Source organism: Homo sapiens, chromosome 11 (assembly GCF_000001405.40).
Source record: "Homo sapiens chromosome 11, GRCh38.p14 Primary Assembly".
Lineage (NCBI taxonomy): Eukaryota > Metazoa > Chordata > Mammalia > Primates > Hominidae > Homo > Homo sapiens.
The window spans coordinates 1,554,051-1,571,444 of NC_000011.10; the positions used below are offsets into that span (position 1 = coordinate 1,554,051).

The window sequence follows — 17,394 nt, forward strand, 5'->3', positions numbered from 1 at the left end:
GAAAACATCCACTTTAAGCTTTATTACAACACATTGTCTCCAAATACAAAGGGAGGGGCCGGGAGCAGAAGGTGCGGCTGTGGCGGGAGGGGCTCCAAGGGGGGCTGAAGGGCCGGCAGCCCAGTCTACAGAGACTGGAGGCTCAGCGGGGGACCTGCACCCTCTCCTCCGCTGGACTTCCCAGCAAATAACAGGAGGGGCCGGGTCCATTTTGGGGCGATCCCAATGCCAGGCAGTGGCCAGGTGGGAGGGGCCGGAGAGAGGCTTGGAGAGGACTCAGGGCTGGGTCAGGTGAAAGCCACCAGGTGGGGCCCTGGCCCGCCTCCCGCAGCACTGGAGGAGGCAGTGGCCAGGTGGGAGGGGCCGGAGAGAGGCTTGGAGAGGACTCAGGGCTGGGTCAGGTGAAAGCCACCAGGTGGGGCCTCAGCCCGCCTCCTGCAGCACTGGAGGAGGCAGTGGCCAACACAGGACCTTCGCCCCCCTGCTGGCTGCTCACTTTGCGGTAACCAGTGCCTCAAGAGTGGGAGCAGAGACAGACTGAGACAGACAGCCCCCCTCAACGGCCTGCAGAAGGGACAAGGGGAAGGGGGAAGGGAGAAGGGGGCCCAACCAGTGGCCCCAGACCACTGTCTCCCGGACAGCACAGGGGTGGGGGGCGAGAAGCGGGAAGCCAGTGCATCCTCCTCACCCAGGGTCTCCTCAGAAACCCAACGCAACAGACATATGGGAGGCAAATTTACATAATTAATAATAATTAACCAATAATAATAAATACTTAAACCTCTAATCCATAGATTGCAAATACAACGATAGCTTATTTTCTTGGGGGAACAGGAGTGGGTGGGGACAGAGGGAACGGGAACAGGACTTTTGCTGAAAGGAGGGATGACAGGAACACAGAGCTGTGGGTGAAAAGAAGAACAAATAGAAGAAACAGCAGAGAGGGCGGCTGGCTGGGGCGGGATGGGCGCCTCCCTGGCCCTGCTCCAGGACTCAGGACTGGGTCCTGCCCTGGGCTGCCTCTCCGGCCAAGCCCCTGGCCTCTTCCCACAGTGACTGGCCCCACTCCTAGACCCTAGGACATCTGAAGGGCAGGGGTCCCAATGGCCCGAGGGGGTATGGGGCAGGGGCAGCAGGCTGACCCACCTGGGCCCAAAAGCCACTTGTGTTTGGGGGCTGGCATGCCACCTAGAGAGAGAGCACCCTGGGAAAGGGGTGAATGGGAGTTTCTCTCCTGAGCGGCCCCATGGGGGTGGGGGCAAACGAGGGGGCTTTACCTGTCTTGAGGCAGTGCTCCCTAAGTGAAGCAGGCCTATCCCAGCAGCACAGGGGCTTGGCTGGCGCCTGAACTCCCTGTGTGAGCAGCACCTGCTCACAGAGCCCCTCAGCCTGCAGGTGCACACCTGAATTCCAAGTTCTGCCTGGGGCATGGCTGGGAGGGGGGCGGGGCAGACCTGGAACAGAACCCTAAGACCACCCCCTCCTCATACCTGGGGGTCCAGGGCTTCCTGCCCAGTGGAGCCAGCACTGGCTAGCCAGGCGCCTCCTGCCTGACCCCCGGAGGCCAAGCTCCTCTCCTGCAATGGTGCCACCCTGCCCGGCAGGCAGCTCTGGGGGCATGGGCAAGGGAGAAGGGAGGGCCGCAGCCCTCTAGGAATGGCCTTTCTGAGCCACTCTGTGGCTGGACTGGGGCTCTGGCAGGAGTTGGGGGCACTAACACCTCTGTCCTCCCCTGGGCTGCACCTCATCTGACGTTCCAGAACCCCCTGCCCGAAGCCCCTACACACACTGTTCTATTTCTCAGCCCCTCTGAACACCCTGGCACCATGAAGCCCAATGCCTGTCCTCCCCTGCCAGAGAACAGCTCTGGGGCAACGGGCAGCGGGGTGCCCTCCTTGCCACCAAGATTTGGTGCCTGGAGCTGATGGAGGGCTGGCCGCACCTCTCCGGGGCACACCAGCTCCTGCTCCTCCATCCTATGGCTTTGGTGCAGAGCCCTAGGCCGGCGCAGAGAAGGGAGGGAGCAGGGGAGGTGGGTGGGGGGAGAAGGGGGGTTCTGCGGCTCAGTTTGTGGCAAAGAAGTTTTTTTTTCCTTTTTTTCACCTTTTTGTTATGTAAAAAGTGCACGAAAGCTCGGCAGCCTTTGCAAAGGTCAGCAGTGTTTCCTGGGGCGGGGGAACTGGGAGGGGCCCCAGGCCTGGCACCCAGCTTGCGACTGAAGGTGGCCTCGTATTGCTTAGAAACGTATGTTTCAGTTTAAATACCAGACAGTAAAAATAGAGCTCGAGGACCACCCGCACTGTTGCCAAATCATTGCCAGAATGAACAGCTTAAATAAATAAAAAATCGAAATATTTACTTCTCGATAAAAATCCCAGTAAAACCATTTACCTTTCTTTGCATTATATATAATATACATTTATAACGGGCCTGGCTGCGGGCGGCGGGGCCGAGGGCAGCGGAGGGGTCAGGACACCTCGATGACCTCCACGCTGCCCGAGAAGCTCGCCTGCTTGCCCAGGGCGGCCAGCTCCTCGCCGCGCGCGCGCCCCTCCACCATGCCCTCCTCGAACTCCATCTGGCAGCTGCGGCGCTTGAACTGCGTCTCCGGGGCCGGCTCCTCGGGCCAGCCGGTCCGCGCGTCCCGGGGCTCAGCCCTCGCTGCCTCCCGCCGCCGCAGGTCGCTGCCGCCGCCTGGTCCCGGGGCGCCCGCCCGGCCGAAGGGCGCAAACAGCACCCCGCCCGCCCCCTGTGCGCCCTCGGGGCTGAAGCACCAGGGCCCGTCGGGCGACGGCGTGCCTGGGGAGTCGAGCGGCGGTGCCCAGGCCCCGGGGCCGGCCGGCTGGCCAGGGCCGGGCAGCCCGGGCGCCGACAGGGCCGAGAGGCCGTGCCGCGGAGTCTGCCGGGCCGCATCGCCGAAGTTCAGGCCGAGGCTGTGCGCGGGGGAGCGCGCGGGGGAGCCGGCGGGGGGCCGGGGCCGCCGGCGGGGCCGTGGGCGCGCCTCAGGCGCGGCGTCCGGGCTGTCCGGGCTGGGCGAGGACAGGCCCAGCGCGGCCCCCGACGGGCTGTCCAGCTTGCAGAGCTTCGGGGCCTCGCCGGGGTCGGGGGGCCCGGGGCCGTCGGGCCGCCTGCTAGGGGCGTAGGCAGACTTGATGTCCAGGGAGAAGGAGCGCTTGAGGCGGTTAGTGTCCTGCAGGCGGTCCGAGGAGAGGTGCAGGCCGCGCAGGCCCTGCTGCAGTGCGCTGGTCGCCGGGGGCGTGGGGGGCGCGGGGGGCTCCCCGCCCGCGCTCAGGCCGCCCTCCCTGGCAGCCGCATTCCCTGTGGCAGCGCTCTCTGAGGTAGGTGGTGGCAGCCGTGGCAGCGGGGCCCCGGCGGCAGGACTGGGCGGAGGCTCCGGCGTCCCTGAGGGGGTGCCCGGGTCGCCCTGCAGGGCGGCCAGCAGCTTCAGGCTGCGCTCGTACTCCAGCAGCTGGCCCAGGAAGTTGAAGTTGGGCGAGATGGACGGGCGCCTGTCCTTCACGAACCTGCGGGGGAGGAGGCTCAGTCCCAGGCGCCCGCCGGGGCCAGGCTGCCCACCTGACGCACCCGCTGGGCACCCACGAGCTCATGTGCGCCAGGCTGGTCTCAGGCCCTCCTCCCTTGCCACGGGTCCTGGACGGTGGGGTCATTCTGGTGCAAGTGGGCAGCCGGGGGAAGGGAAGCGACGCTGTGAGCCACAAGTGCGCGACTGGGGAAGGTGGTACCTGTAGGCGTCGTCGGAGGACATGCCCATGGTCTTCATGATGTAGGCGATGGCGATGGTGGCAGAGCGGGAGATGCCAGCCAGACAGTGGACGATGACTTGGCAGCTGGAGAGCTTGGCTTTATCTGGGCAGGTGGGCCATGGGGGCCAGGTGAGGGCTAAGACTGCACAGCTTCTCCCTGGCCCAGGTAGGGGACCCCACCCGCCCAACTGCCAACAGTTCCGGCTACTTCCTGGGGACCCCTCCTGTGTCTGTGGCCACACACAGCTCTAGCCTTCCTCTAGCCAGGTCCCTGCCCTCCGCCCACCGCAGACTCACCGATGAACTCGATGGACTTGTCCAGCCAGGGCAGCAGTTTTTCACAGTAGTTGTCGTTGATGGGGACCCGCATGAAGCGGCTCTCGCAGATGAAGTCAGGCTTGGGGCAGGAGTTGCTGGCGTTGAGGACGTAGCTTATTCCATTTTGCGTCATCAGATCCTGGAGGGGCGGGAGGGCGGGTTGGAAAGGGGTGGGAGAAGCTCGGGGCGGGAGTGAAGGTGGAGGCTTTTCCTGCCCTGCCGTCAGGAGGGCCTTTAGAATCCTGGGAGCCTTGGAATTTGTCCCAGATCCCAGTGTATCCAGGGGAGGGCCCAGGAGGCCTCTCTGGTCCACCCTGGCACCCTGGGCCCGTGCGGGGGGTGGGGCACGGCTGGCCTCCGACTGCAGGCCCCACCCACGGCTGGTGGTGGGCTCCTAGGAATTTTATGATTGCCTGGGTGGTGGCTTTTACCCTTTTCCCTCGTCACCATTTTTAAAACATGGGATTCTTTCAGAGCTGGCCAGAGGCCCAGTGACATCCGCAGCTTGGCATGCCAGCTCCCCGCTCCTCCCCCGAGCCCTGCCGGGCCCTCCCGCAAGCCCTGCTGTGGTCCTTCCAGGGGCATGGGTGGGGAGCCTGGGGTCCTCCTGGGCCCCCACCCATGCTTCTCCCACACCCAGCTCATCCACTGCCTTCAGCTCCTTTCCTCCCTCATCCCCCGCTCCGCTGCCAAGCTGCTTCTGGAGCTCCTGCCCCTTTCCCATTGACCACCCCCCGAACTCCACTGCACACACACCTTGTTTAGGACGTCCTTCTGCGAGCCCAGGTAGAGGTGAGGCAGGATGCGGGTCAGGCCCACGCTGGGCACAGGCAGGCAGGGCTGGGAGAGGCTCATGGGTAGCAGGGCAGCAGGCTTGCCCTCGCAGAGGCCGGGGAAGCAGGAGGAGAAGGTGGCGAAGCCCCCTGTAGGAGGAGGGCCGTCAAGTGGGTTGAGAGAACACCTAGGGCTCCCTGTCCGCCTAGGGTGCCCTGTCCGCCTAGGGCACCCCATCTACTGCTGAGGATCAGTCACACCCAGCCCAGACCCGAGCCTGAGCCCAGCCGGCAAGCCTCTGGCGGAGCACCTGCTCTGCCCGCGGTGGGGGGAGGGGGTACTGCCACACATTTACAGCCTGCACCTACGCCCACATTCCTCCTCATGCTAATTAGGGGCTGACCCAGCTGAGGACGCCGCTAGGATGCCCGTAAAGGTGGCGTTGAGGTGGCTGGCCATCACGGCACGCGCTGGGCCCAGGCAGGGGTGGGCTCAGAGGCCACAGGGGTCTCCTGCTGAGGGTGTGTGTCACACAGCCCAGAGGAGAGGCCCTCACGAGCCCGGCCATCTCCCATACCCATGGCCTGGGGCCAGGCTGGGCCTTCCTCCTCCCCTGCACTGATGCAATGCCTCCCTGCCTCCAGCTGGCTGGGAGCCCCAGGCCTGGGCTTGGGTGCCAGGACCAGGAGGCCAGGGCTTCCGAGAGGCCCTCCCCGTCCCCAGGCATGACATCACCCTGGCACAGCCCTCGGGGCATTTGCTGTCTGGTTATGGCTGTACTCCACCCAGCAGGGGAGGACGGAGAGTGGAGAAGCCCGGGGCACTGGGGGCACGCAGAGCAGGCAGTGGGCACCCGCTGCACACGTGACCAGCGTGTGCTGCTGCCTTCCACACACGTCCAAGTCCGAGGCCACAGGCTGGTGGGAGGAAGTCCCCTGCCCTGCACCAGCTGGAAGGACCCGAACGTGAATCCCTGGATGTCTGACTCAGTGACCATGGGTAGTGCACACCATGGCTCTGGTCTCAGCTTCCTCCTCCTGCCTGCCACACAGCATCATGTGGTTCCAAGAAGATAATGAGCACGAAGACACATGGTGAGAATGGACCTGGCCGTCCCTGACCTGGCTGGGGCGACCACCGATGTGGACCAGAAACTGGGCAGCACCCACCTGGTGGCTGCCAGCTCTTGGGAGGGTGAAGCCAGCATGGCCCAGCACCACCCCGAGGACACCTTCCAGAACATAAGCCCCCATGGCAAGCCGGCTCCTGCTTGTGCAGAGCCTGAGGCAGCTGGGCTGAGGCCTGCCCTATCCCATTGGACGGGGCAGGGGAGTGACGGCGGGAGCTCAGGGCCTGGGAACCCCAGGGCTCTTTTTTGTCCTGGTTTGCAGAAGAGGCTGGTGCCACATGTGTAGCAGGTGCCCACTGCCTGCCCCGCGTGCCCCCAGTGCCTAGGGCTCCTCCTCTCTCCATTCTCCCCTGCTGGGTGGAGTAGAGCCACCCTGGATAACTCCTGAGGACAGGGGAGTGTGTGCAAACCCCCAACCAGAACACCTGCTGTGCCAGCTCCCCGTGTCCCTAAAAAGGGCGTGACGCTGGGGGACTGTGGAGATAGGGGAAGCTCCAGGCTGGGTGGGTTGAGGCAGCAGCCTTGGAGGAACAGTCTCTTCTGTGGGAACCTGCTGACTGGACAGGGGAAAGCAGGTAGGTGACTTGTCACCAACGACGCCCCAGCTTGCAGGTTCCCCTGAGCAGAGGCTGGGATGGGCACTGTAGCTGGCTTCCACTCACTGTTCTGAGCTGGGGTAGCCCTGGATGTTCCCGCTGCAGGACAGCCCCGGGGAGGCGGAAGGGCTGCACCACTTCTCTGCAGACTCTTCTGCCACCTGCTGCCTCTCCTCCTCCCTGTGGCTCTCCCAGGGATTTTGTGCCTTACTCTCTGCTTTCTCCAGGGCCTGGCCAAAGGAGGAGGTGCTGGGGATTCCATCAGTACCCTCCCACCTCTCCCAGAGGAGGTAAAGGCAGGAAAGTCTCTGGACAGGTGCAGAGAACCGACAGCTATGTCAGCAATTCCCCAGGAAGCTTCCCAGGACCTCCCCAGGCGGAGCAGGTAGTGTGGATGTCCCTACACACCCCACTGTGGATGCCAGGCCTAGCAGGGACCGAGGCTCCAGGGATTTCAGAACCACCCAGGCTCTGGGGGTGAGTGATAAGTGAGGGGTGTTGGGGTTCAGTGGACCCTTTGTAGGTCCCAGCACTCTTTGGGCCCTGGGGAGGCACCCCTACCCCCAGGCATCTCCAAAGGCGCCTTCCCAGTATCCCTGCTCCCTGACTCGGGGGTTTCTGGGGCAGCGCCTGCAGTTCACCTGTTACTCACAGTGAAATCCCAGACTTGAAAAAAGGCGTGTGTACCAGGACATGTGCCTGCCCCATGCCACCTGGGAGACCCTGCAAGCGCTTATGGCCACAGTCACAGACGCACTTCTGCCCGCCACCTCCATGACCCCTGGACTCCCCGCCAGGGCGGGGGCCGCCACCCCACCCACTTGCAGTGCAGTCGCCCGGCCAAGGGTCCAAGGCCGACTGCGGGCCGCTGCTTAAAGGGCCAGGCCCCTCTCTCATCCCTTGCCGCTTGCCCCCCAACATCGTGAGCAGCGCAGCTGGAGTGGGGGAAGAGGAGCGGCAGGGGGAGGTGGGCTTCACAGCAGTCCTGGGACCCCAGCACAGCCTGTCCTGCCACTGTTTCTCTCCCGCTTCCCGCAAACCTGCCCTGCTGTGGGGAGGACAGAGGCTTGGTCCTCACATTCCGGCCTCTACTGTCCCTGCAAATGGACCAAGGAGCTGTGTTGCCTGTGCCGCGGGATCCTGGAACATCCCTTCTCCTGGGTGAGGGGCAGCACCCCTGCCCCCCCCAATATATTCTTTCCCACTCTCCCTGGTTCTTCGCAGAGCCAGCCCAGAGCAGGGGCTGTGCCCACCACAGGGTGGGAGGGAGCCTGAGGGCAGAGCCCGTGGGCCTGCCTGGGTGTCGCCATGAGCCCACTGTATACCACGGGGCCTGGGACTCCTTGGCAGCTGCACTTCTGGAGAAAAGGGGACACAGCCTCAACCTTGCAGGGCAGATGTCAGCACAGAAAGGCAGTTCTGAGGGTGGCATGACCAGGCCCTGGGAGTGCCCTCCTGGCAAATCCTAGCACAGGCCCGGCCCCTCCCATGCCCATACTCATCCACGCCCACCTGCACACCCATGCTGTCCCACCCACCAGTGCTGGGTGAGGGCCCCAGCCCCCCAAACCGTCCCACTCTGGCCTCGAGGGAGACAGGCCCTTCCAGGCTTGGGACTTTCCTGGGATCTGCCTGCAGGTAGGGAGGTGCCACTCTGGGACCTTTCTCAGCCTCCAAGAAGAGTCTCCTGACTCCCATTCCTGGCTAGGGCAGCAAACTGGCCTTTGGGAGGGGTCCTGTTACACCTGGTGAGCTGTAAAAAGCCCCAAACTACTCTCTCCCCGCCCCCCACCAGTTCAGTCCTCAAACTGGACCTAGGGGAACAGGGTTGGATCAGAGTGCGTCATTCTGTGGCTTCTGGTTCTGAGAGTTCACACATATGCACACAAATCCCAAATCTCACCCAGACAAGCACAGGCGGGTACATACACAAATATACCTCCATGTATATACATGCATATACACGTGCACACACGTACATGCACATATGCGCACACACAGGCATGCATATGCCCATACATGCACACATGTACATGCACACACATACATGCATGCACATGCACACACACACATACATGCACACACATGCTCACGTACACACTCGCAGAGGCAGATGCTGGTCACCAGACGCCCAGAGCCATGCACAGACGCACAGACACCCTCTGACCATGGCCACCCAGCAGTGCAGGGTGCTGGTCTCACCCACAGAGAGGTGGGGAGGGAGCCTGGCCTCAATGCTCTTGCCCAGGACACTGGACCACCCTCAAGCCTCCCAGGTGCCCTTTAGGTCCCAGGACATGCCATGTCGGGAGGTCGGCCTGGCCAAAGCGGCTGCCACCCCTTCATCCCCCACAGTCGCCCTCAGGCTGGGTGAAGGTCCCTGCTTCCACTGGATGCAGGGCCAAGGGCCTGGCTTGGCTGCCTACTCCTCACCCCACCGTGCCTGCACCCCACAGTCCCCCATATCCTCTGCTTGCCTGGAACAGCCCCTGGTAGCAGAGGCCAGGCAGAAGGAGCCTGGACAAAGACCCCAGACCTGGATGGGGGAGGGTGCACATCCCTGGGACAGGCCAGCTCCGTCCGGCTCTGGGACCTGGGCCGACCCCAGGAGGTGGATTCTACAGACACGCCCTCAGCCACAGCCCAAGGAAAGAAAGAACCCTCTGGGACCACGAGTGTGTGAGTGTATATGAGTGTGTATCAGCGTGTGTAGGGGGGCGGCTTCCCTGCCTCCAGGGCTTGGGGCCAGTTGCCCAGGCTGCTTTTGGGCCACAGGGATCCCTGGGGGCTGTCTGCTGGGACCCAGGCAGCAGCCTTGGTGCCAGGCTGTTGCCAGGCAACCTGCACTCAGCTGGGCTTTCGGAGGTGGGGGGACTTCCTCGGGACCCCACGGCTCCAACTGAGTTTCCAGAGGATGGGGCCTCTGCCTCCGGCTTCTGACAGGAGCTCCGGGAGTGGGAGGGGCTCCCAGCCTGCATGCCTTGCCCTACACCTCTGGAGCCCAGCTGTACTGTGAGGTTTCCTTCTGTGTTGAGGATAGTCATATTGGTGGGTCCTGAAGTGTGGGCGTCCTGGGGAGAGGATGGTGGGGCCTCAAGAACCACAGATGTATGGAGATCCCCCCGTGCCCAGCGGACACCTCCCTGATGCCCCAGCCCCAGCCCCAGCCCCACTGCTGGCGGAGCAAGTGCCTCGGGGAGGCGTGGGTCATGGACTCACCAGTGAGGATGGCCACGCTGTCGAAGCAGCCGTCCAGCTTGCTCAGCAGGATGGAGAGGAAGCTGTCTGCGGCCAGCACGCTGGCGTCCCGCGTGCTCTGGTCATAGACCACCACGTCCTGTGGCTCCGTAGCCTCCACCTGGGGGCCATGGGGCAGAGATCAGCATGCCGCCTCCACCTATCGATGCCCTGGCCCCGTCCCAGATATGCTGGCTCAAGGGAATAGTAAGGGCATCAGATGATGGGAGGCAGGCAGCTGTCACCTTGCTGCCTGGAGGGGAGGGCAGGTGCAGTCACACACTCTCCTCCATCTGCCAGAGGCCCAGATGCACACACCCACACCACACAGCAAGCCATGGGGGCAGGGAGGGGTGGACTCCTGCCCTGCGCAGCTGTGCCCCCATGCCATGCACATGGGTGAAGGGGACGGACGCTCTGGGCCAGGCCTGTGTGGAGGAGACACAGGTGAGTGCGATGGGAGCCCAGGATAGGACCTGGCTGGCTCCCAGGGTGGCGGAGGGACAGAGAAGCTCGGCCCTGAAACGCATGCCTTCGGGTGTGGGCTCTCAGTGGGGCTAACTGTGTAGCCAGCAATTCTGCTCCCCACCCTATCCCCTCCCCAACCCCCAGCGGAGAAACAGAGGGCTGCAGCAGGACCCCAGGCCCCTGCACCAATTCCGGAGGCAGCAGCTGGAAGCTGGGTTCCTCCTGCCCTCCTCCCCCACCCCAAGGGCCAGCCCAGATGTTGAGCGGCTTTTGCTCAGACAGCACCGGTGCCCCCGCCCTGCAAGCACACACTCAGCCCTTAAGCCAGCTGAGCCGCCAACCCTGGGCTGGGTGACGTCACCGGCAGCCAATGGGATCGCACTCTGCCGGGAGTCCTTGCTGGGGGTCATTAATCACCAGATTCCCCTTGTTGGAAACCAAAGGGAGCCGATTCTGGCCTTGGGGTGGGCGGACTCCTGGCCAGTGGCCATCCCACTTGAGTCCTCCCATGTCCCAGCTCTGAACAGGGCCTATCAGTGACCCAGACCCCTCTCAAAGCCTCCAGGGCCAAGAGCTTGTCACCCTTGTCCCCTGCGAGGCAGTAGAAGGAGGAGGTGCCGCCACCTTCACAGGTCAACAGCCCCGCTGGTCCCTCCCCAGCTGCACCTGATGGTCCTGGGCAGAATGAGCTGTCCTTCCCCAGAAGGACATTCCTGGGGGGCCACAGAGAGAATTCTGGGTCCCTGAATACTCTGCGGGCTGGGGGAAGCTGTGGGACGGGGACATGGACTGCTCACGTGTGCCTTTTGACCACCCCTCCTGTCCTCACAGCAGTGGAAGTGGACCACACAGCTGTCCCTGTCCCGTGTAGGCCAGCTGGGCTGCTCCCACTGCCATGTGGTCACACCTTGCTATTCCACTCACTGCTCCCCTCTGTGAGCCTGGGTTGGCCCTGGCCACACAGTCCTATCTGCGTGGGGAGGGCCCGGCACCTCTGTGCAGAAGCTGAGCAAGGAGGCCCTGGAGGGAGGGTAGGGAAGGGTGCTGCGGGCGGGGGTGCGGGGGATGCCCTGAGCAGGGGCAACAGGCAGCGGTGAGAGGCAAGTGCCAGGGAGGACTGCTCCACACGCCCCTGGCTGTGACCCCAAGGAGTCGAGTTTGGACTGGAAGGCAGAGGAGGGGGGTGCTGCCCGAGCTGAGGGCCCCTTAGCTGTGGACCCTGGACGTGATGCATGCCTGGTGGGCAGTGGGCTGGGTACCTGGCTGCGTGCAGCCGGCTGGATGAGCTCCGCAATGGTCACCTTGCCCTGCTGCAGCCGCCGCTTCACCAGCTTGGAGCAGCAGATGTTGACGGAGCTGAGCACATGCCAGCTGTTGTACTCCACGAAGGAGCGGCTGTCGATGACCAGCGGCCCCCCAGGCCCGCCCCGCAGCAGGCTGGCCAGCTTCTTGGCATCCATCACCTTCCTCGGGAGCCGGTCCCCAGCCATGGTGGGGCAATGGGTGCTGGGGAGGGTGACCCCTGAAGTGAGGAGGGGCTGCTCCGACGGCCCAGGTGTGGCCTCGCGCTGGGAGTGACCTAGCACATGGTGCTGGACCTGCAGGGACAGGGGGATGGTCAGCAGTGCTGCGGGCCCCTGGGTGGCACCCAGAAGCTCCCCAGGACAGATCAGAGCTGGGAGCTGCGCCCACCAGGACACACCAACATGTGCCCGTGGGAACCCTTCTCCCTCTGGAGAGACCCCGTCCAGGTCACAAGGCCAGCTCTCAGCAGGATGCAACAAGGCAGAGGGGGGCAAATGGGCCCCACAGAGAAGGGTCTGAGGGCTGGAAGAGGCCAGGGGTCCTTCCTGTGGGCCCTGGGGTTCACGGACCCTTAGGCATTCCAGAACATTCCATCTCATCCCTGGGACACAGGCATCTCCCTGCTGTGACTTCTGCATCTTTTCCACCACAGGACCCCCAGCAAGTCGGGGTCTGGACTGCACCTCACCCTCCCACATGGTCAAGCTCTCTGCCCTCCTCCGGGCTTGCTGTCCTCACACCTGCCCCTCTCTCCCTAGCACAGCCCCAGGGAGTCCAATCCCTGGAGACTTGACTCCAGGGCAGCTCCGTAAGCCGATAATCCAGCCCCTGGTGGATGGTGGCCTTGGGGCTGCCTCCACTGGAGAGTGGGCTCCCGGGGGCAGCCGGATAGCAGGCGGGTGCGGGAGGGGCTCAGGCACAGAGGCACGGCTCCTTTGCCACTGCTGCCCTCCTGACCTGCAGGCTGAGGTTTAGTGTGCGCCACGTGCCTGCTGGGGGTGAGTGCCCAGCTCCTGCAGGGGCGTGTTGCACCCACACAGTGCCTCTCCCCTAGCGGAGCCTGGGGTCTAGGAGGCTCCTTCATGGGCTGATAGGGCCCAGGATGGGAGGGGCGGGGCAGCCCTGGGAGGAGGGTCAGTGTCGGGGACCCCGCAGGTGCCAGGCCCTCGGCATGGCCTGCAAAGGCCTCAGACTGCCGGGTGGGCAGGTGGAGTAGGGATGTCTGAGGATGGAGTCTCCGGAAGCCCCTCCTGCAGGCTTGATGACAAGCCTGTCACTGCCCCACTGCCGGGCCCCATCTCCCTGTCACCTGCCAGGACTGGCCTTCCTCTGGGTCCACTTTACACTCACAGCCCCTAGGAGGCGCATAGTGTTAAGGATGATGAGTTTGCTTTAACTATGGGGAAACCGAGGCTTGGGGCAGGGTTGGGACCTGGGTCACACCTGGGTCACACACAGATGGGCACTGGGTGTCCCTGCAATGCCATCTTCCCTGTGCCCCCACAGCTGCCAGGCAGTCAGGAAGTTTACTCCACCCAGCTCAGGACTGAGGGAAGGCTGGGAGATAGATGTACCCTGGGCCCTGCGCCCTGTGCAAAGCGGGCTACGGTGGGTAGCGGGCCCTCAGCAAGCCAGACCCCCAACCCACAGCCACAGGAGGCACTGGGGGGAGGCGCCCTGAGGACACCCATGCACTGCAAACAGCAGGCTGGGGACAGAGGCCACCACCGTTTCTGGACTCTCCAGGTCAGCTCCCAGGCCGGCGGGGGCCAGTGAGAGAGTTCACAGAGCAGCAGGTGCAAGGCTGGTGTGGACCTCGTCCCTGGCCCAGCCCCAACTCCACACTGAGGGGCAGGTCCCAGCTCCTCCCTGCCCAGGAGCCCCAGCCTCGCACTCACTCTCCTTCTCCAGACACTTCAAGCTTGGCCCCTGCCTGGCCCCTCCCGCCTCGACTGGGCCCAGGCTTCTGTGCATTCCCACCATCCCTCCTGTTGCCAGAGGCCAGGGAAACACCTGACTGTGGATGGGCAGCCTCAGCTGACCCCACGGCTGACACCAGGGATTGCAGTGGCACCTGGTCAGCAGGGCCTCAGGATCCCACTCAGATAACGTTCCTGGGCTGGTGCTCCAGCCTCCACCACAGGGTGGGGAACGAGGCCTGGGAGTCCTCTCCAGGGCCAGACCCAGCAAGTTCAACAGCAAAAGGGCCTGCTGCCTGCCTGCTGTGGAGGGTCTCTGCCTGCCAAGGGGGTCCCTGACTACCCACAGGGGGTCCTTGATGAGCTGTTTGTCCTTCCCGAGTTCTACCTGAGCCTTGCACAGGTGGTGAGAGGCGAGGGCCCAGATGTGTGGTTCTGGTGAGACAGCGGCTCCAGGTGCCCCGTAGGATACCCAAGGGTCCAGCTCAGAGACCCAGAACCCCGAGAAGGCTGCAGTGGCAGGGACACTTGGGCTGGGGGTCTTTTGAGGAGCTGCCCCGGCCTCAATGTCCTCATCCGTTAAGTGGGGGTGGATTCTCTCTCACTGAAAACAACAGAAGCAAATACCCCCCAGTGCAGGGAGGAGGGCAGGTGTGAGGAGAGGCCCTCGCCCTCTCTGCAGCCAGGGCCTAGCCTTCATGCAGCCCTGAGTCCTGACACTGCCATGAGAGACCTCGGTGCAGCCAGCCAGATCTGAGACCCAGAGGGAGGGGAGGGAGGAGGGCAAGTCCAGCTGCAGGGTGGTGGGCAGGGGCTGGAGGGGCGGGAGGACGGGTCCTGGCCTTTACCTGGCCCTGCTCTGCCTCCTAAGCAACGCTGAGCTGGAGCTGGGCCTATCACCCACAATAGTATTGTTATTTGCAGCCGAAGGGGATTCATTAGCAAGTTAGCACCTCCATCGTCACCATGGCAACAGCAGAGGTGCCAGGCAACCGCTGCTCCTGCGGCAGCCACCACCATGGAGCAGGCTCCTCTGCAGAGTGGGCACGCGCCCCTCCCTGCTCTCTCCTACCCACCCCAGCAGGTGCCCGGCAGTGCAGAGCCCAGTCCTCAGCCCCTCCGCTCCTCTGCCCTACCTGGTCCTAACCTTCCTTCCCACTCCAGGTACCTGCTGTGCCCAGCATGCTCCCTGCAGCTCGCCGGCTCCCCGCCCCCTCAGAGGCCTTCTCTGTACTGCGAAGGGCTGGCCGAGTGCCCCCTCCTGCAGGAAGCCTCTGTGCCATGCTGGCCTCTGGGAGAGCATCCTCACCCACAGGGTCTCCCTGGACCTACAGCTCCCAGGGGGACATGTTCCTCACCTCTGTCTCCCCAGATGCTAAGGATCGGGGCTCAGCTATGCCAGGGATGGGGCAGGTTGGGTGGGGTGGGGAGCAGAGACACTAAGGACAGTCTGGTGCAGATCAGTGGGGCCAGCACTGGCCATGTGGGAACAGAGGTAAGGAAATGTGGATGGTGTTGGTTCCATGCCTCTCCTTTCACGGCCCCACATGCCAAGCCCTCCTGAGTACCTGTGGCCCTGCTATTCCAGTGCCTAGGGGTTGGGGGGTGAGAGGCAGGGCTGGGGACAGGATGCCCCCTAGCACAGCCCCATACACCCTTTTCAAAAGTCTTTGAGCCCAGGAGGAAGCAGTTTCCAAGTCCAAAGTCAGAAGAAGGCTCCTCCCAGGCCCACACCTTCCAGGAGGCACCAGGCCGCCACCCTCCCCTGGGACACAGCACGCCTGGCTCCAGTGCTGCGTGCACACTGCCCTCTGTGCGTGCCAGAACACACCTCTTTGCACACCCACTCCACACACAGGGCTGGTGCTCCTTACCCACAATCCACCTGCCCTGTGTGCAAGTACCCACGCGTGAATATGTGCACACGCGTGGGCTGGACATACACTAGAGTACACGCACGTCCTTGCCCTCTGTATGCAGGATCCCCTGAGAACCCCAGGACTCCAGTACCCGAGGGGTCAGCTTCAGACTCCTTACAAACACGAGCTCCCACACCCAGCGTCTCTGTGCAGCACATTCCTGTCCCTGAGCACAGACGGGACCAGGGAGTCCCAGGCCACCCCCAGCTCTCAACTGACAGCATCCTTACCATGTTACCTTCTGCTCAGCACCTAGAAATGGGGACTCACTACCTTCAGAGACAGCTGCCAGGACTGTCAAGCATGGGGGGATGGGACTGTGTCTCCCCCTCACACCTAGGCAGGCTCTTGGAGCTGTCCGGCTCACTGTTACCCAGGGATGCTTCTGGAGGCAGAAATCGTCACACTAAGGAGGCTGAGGAGAGACTGGTGGGTGGCAACTCTGGGAGGCAGGGACCCTGCACTCACACAGGTCAGCTCATCTTCCCTCACTGGGCTCCCCCAGATGCCCTCATCCCTGCCTCCCCTCAGCTCCCTTGGCTAGTGCTGTAGGACCCAAGCTGGCCTACACTCTGCTCCGCTGGCCTGGGGAAGCTGTGGACCTGGGAGAAAGTGGGGTGGGGCGGGGGGCTCCCTCCGATCCCAGGAACGGGGTCCGGGCAGGGCAGGGGATGGGAGGACTTGGCACAAGGGGCCGTGACAGTCGAGTCTCAGAGCCGGACATATCCAGGTTCCCTCCCTTCCCACCAGACCTGTGTCCCTCCTCCTGGTCACTGTGCCACATGCTAAACATCAGGACCAGTGTGGCGCTTCCAAGGTTCACTGCCCTGAGCAACTCCGGCAGAGGGGGCCTCAGCGGGTGCAGTTCTCATGGCCAGAGTCCAACCACCTCTCTCTCACTGTGGGTCTGCCCCTTTCCCTGCCTTCTGCAAGAAGTGACACCTAGGTCTCCCCAGGCCCTAGCTGATGCCCCTTCGAGGCACCTGTCCAGTGGCAGCCTCTAGGCCCTGACTTCAGCCCCAGCCTGAGAAGAGAAGGGTCCTGGAGCAGAGACTGACTCTAAGCGTCTTTCTGCACCTCTGTTAATGGGACTTTATTCCCAGAAGCCTCCCCGAGGACAGAGGATACCAGGGGAATAGAACCTGCCCAGCCACACTCGTGCAGCCCCCGGCTGGCTGCAGCAGGAGGTATTTCAGCGAGACTTCAGGATGAACTTCCAGCTGGGGTCACATGATCTGCCATCCGCATCCAGTGCTTATTAGCAGTGAATGCATGGGACTGTCCTCCTGGTGGAGGGCTGGGGCCTGGGGTGCTACATTCACCCCTGGACCGCCCTAGGTGCAACAGTGTCTCTGGGTGGGCTGTGCCAGAAGGGAGGCAAGGGAGAGTGCCGGGGTTTGGATCTCCCCTCAGACCCCCCGCTGGGGCACAAAAGGAGCTTCCCTGGCCTGCAGCACCCCACCCCCACCCCAAGCTGCACAGCAAGAGCACTGCGGAGCCACGCTACATCCTGCCACCCCCTCCTCCATCCCACAGTGTCCCCGCCCCCCATCACTGCAGCACCAGAGCCCCTATTCCCCTCAGCAGAGGCCGGTACACCCCGCAGCAGGGAGACGGAGGCAGATTCTCCCAGAAGGGGTGACCCTGTTGGGGCTGGGCCTATTGTTGCCCCCTCCCCTCCAGGCCAGACTATTAGGTATCCCCACCTGGTCTGCTCCGCATCCCAGGCTGGGCAGCTGGGCCTAGCGAGGTGGCTGCAGCAGCCTGGCTGTGCCAGCCCCTCCCCCAGCGCCGCGGCTGCCTCTGCAGCAGGCGGAAGGGCGCGGGGGCTTTATCCCTCAGGGGCCGGCTGGGCACCCCGGGATGGGGAGGCAGTGCGGCCTGGACACTGGGGGGATGGATCTGCAGCCCTCCCCCCCGACAGGGGAAGGCCCCTTCCCGGGTGTCCCAGGCCAGAGGCCGTCG

At 63.7% G+C, this 17,394-nt stretch overlaps 2 protein-coding genes across 5 annotated transcripts in view, besides 7 other annotated features; both read right to left on the minus strand.

Annotated features, from left to right (window-relative positions):
* DUSP8 (dual specificity phosphatase 8) overlaps window positions 1-17,394 on the minus strand; it is an 18,798-nt gene continuing 1,404 nt past the window's right edge. For 2 of the 4 annotated variants that reach the window (XM_011519933.3, NM_004420.3), the window contains exons 2-7: window positions 11,546-11,884; window positions 9,801-9,939; window positions 4,839-5,005; window positions 4,062-4,221; window positions 3,744-3,867; window positions 1-3,524 (exon numbers count right to left, since the gene is read on the minus strand). In XM_011519933.3, the coding sequence (XP_011518235.1) occupies window positions 2,468-3,524; window positions 3,744-3,867; window positions 4,062-4,221; window positions 4,839-5,005; window positions 9,801-9,939; window positions 11,546-11,776 (1,878 nt within the window). In that variant the 5' untranslated portion in view covers window positions 11,777-11,884 and the 3' untranslated portion in view covers window positions 1-2,467. Of the gene's footprint in view, window positions 3,525-3,743; window positions 3,868-4,061; window positions 4,222-4,838; window positions 5,006-9,800; window positions 9,940-11,545; window positions 11,885-13,898; window positions 16,903-17,394 lie in introns of those variants that run through there. The other 2 variants (XM_011519932.3, XM_047426513.1) reach the window with 2 other exon arrangements.
* On the minus strand, window positions 557-1,430 carry LOC124902608 (uncharacterized). Its single transcript, XM_047427956.1, has 2 exons — window positions 899-1,430; window positions 557-630 (listed from the first exon to the last, which is right to left on the minus strand). The coding sequence occupies exons 1-2, from the start codon at window positions 1,428-1,430 to the stop codon at window positions 557-559; spliced, it is 606 nt and encodes a 201-aa protein (XP_047283912.1).
* Window positions 1,317-2,114: an enhancer, noted in NCBI's record as "H3K4me1 hESC enhancer chr11:1576597-1577394 (GRCh37/hg19 assembly coordinates)". NCBI's record gives its function as "activates a minimal SCP1, AML or CMV promoter by ChIP-STARR-seq in primed H9 embryonic stem cells {active_cell/tissue: H9 hESC(primed)}" and the evidence as "EXISTENCE:reporter gene assay evidence [ECO:0000049][PMID:30033119]".
* Window positions 3,711-4,508: an enhancer, noted in NCBI's record as "H3K27ac-H3K4me1 hESC enhancer chr11:1578991-1579788 (GRCh37/hg19 assembly coordinates)". NCBI's record gives its function as "activates a minimal SCP1, AML or CMV promoter by ChIP-STARR-seq in primed H9 embryonic stem cells {active_cell/tissue: H9 hESC(primed)}" and the evidence as "EXISTENCE:reporter gene assay evidence [ECO:0000049][PMID:30033119]".
* Window positions 5,307-6,102: an enhancer, noted in NCBI's record as "H3K27ac-H3K4me1 hESC enhancer chr11:1580587-1581382 (GRCh37/hg19 assembly coordinates)". NCBI's record gives its function as "activates a minimal SCP1, AML or CMV promoter by ChIP-STARR-seq in primed H9 embryonic stem cells {active_cell/tissue: H9 hESC(primed)}" and the evidence as "EXISTENCE:reporter gene assay evidence [ECO:0000049][PMID:30033119]".
* Window positions 12,943-13,881: an enhancer, noted in NCBI's record as "H3K4me1 hESC enhancer chr11:1588223-1589161 (GRCh37/hg19 assembly coordinates)". NCBI's record gives its function as "activates a minimal SCP1, AML or CMV promoter by ChIP-STARR-seq in naive H9 embryonic stem cells {active_cell/tissue: H9 hESC(naive)}" and the evidence as "EXISTENCE:reporter gene assay evidence [ECO:0000049][PMID:30033119]".
* Window positions 13,882-14,820: an enhancer, noted in NCBI's record as "H3K4me1 hESC enhancer chr11:1589162-1590100 (GRCh37/hg19 assembly coordinates)". NCBI's record gives its function as "activates a minimal SCP1, AML or CMV promoter by ChIP-STARR-seq in naive H9 embryonic stem cells {active_cell/tissue: H9 hESC(naive)}" and the evidence as "EXISTENCE:reporter gene assay evidence [ECO:0000049][PMID:30033119]".
* Window positions 14,821-15,759: an enhancer, noted in NCBI's record as "H3K4me1 hESC enhancer chr11:1590101-1591039 (GRCh37/hg19 assembly coordinates)". NCBI's record gives its function as "activates a minimal SCP1, AML or CMV promoter by ChIP-STARR-seq in naive H9 embryonic stem cells {active_cell/tissue: H9 hESC(naive)}" and the evidence as "EXISTENCE:reporter gene assay evidence [ECO:0000049][PMID:30033119]".
* Window positions 17,275-17,394: part of an enhancer, noted in NCBI's record as "H3K27ac-H3K4me1 hESC enhancer chr11:1592555-1593102 (GRCh37/hg19 assembly coordinates)", that runs on past the window's edge. NCBI's record gives its function as "activates a minimal SCP1, AML or CMV promoter by ChIP-STARR-seq in naive H9 embryonic stem cells {active_cell/tissue: H9 hESC(naive)}" and the evidence as "EXISTENCE:reporter gene assay evidence [ECO:0000049][PMID:30033119]".

Bases quoted from the DNA above. Each gene is read 5' to 3' on its own strand.
- LOC124902608 (XM_047427956.1), bottom strand. From the start codon at position 1,430: ATGCCCCAGGCAGAACTTGGAATTCAGGTGTGCACCTGCAGGCTGAGG. The intron at 631-898 runs GTGTTCCTGTCA...GCTGTCCGGGAG, and splicing joins TTCTTTTCACCCACAGCTCT to ACAGTGGTCTGGGGCCACTG.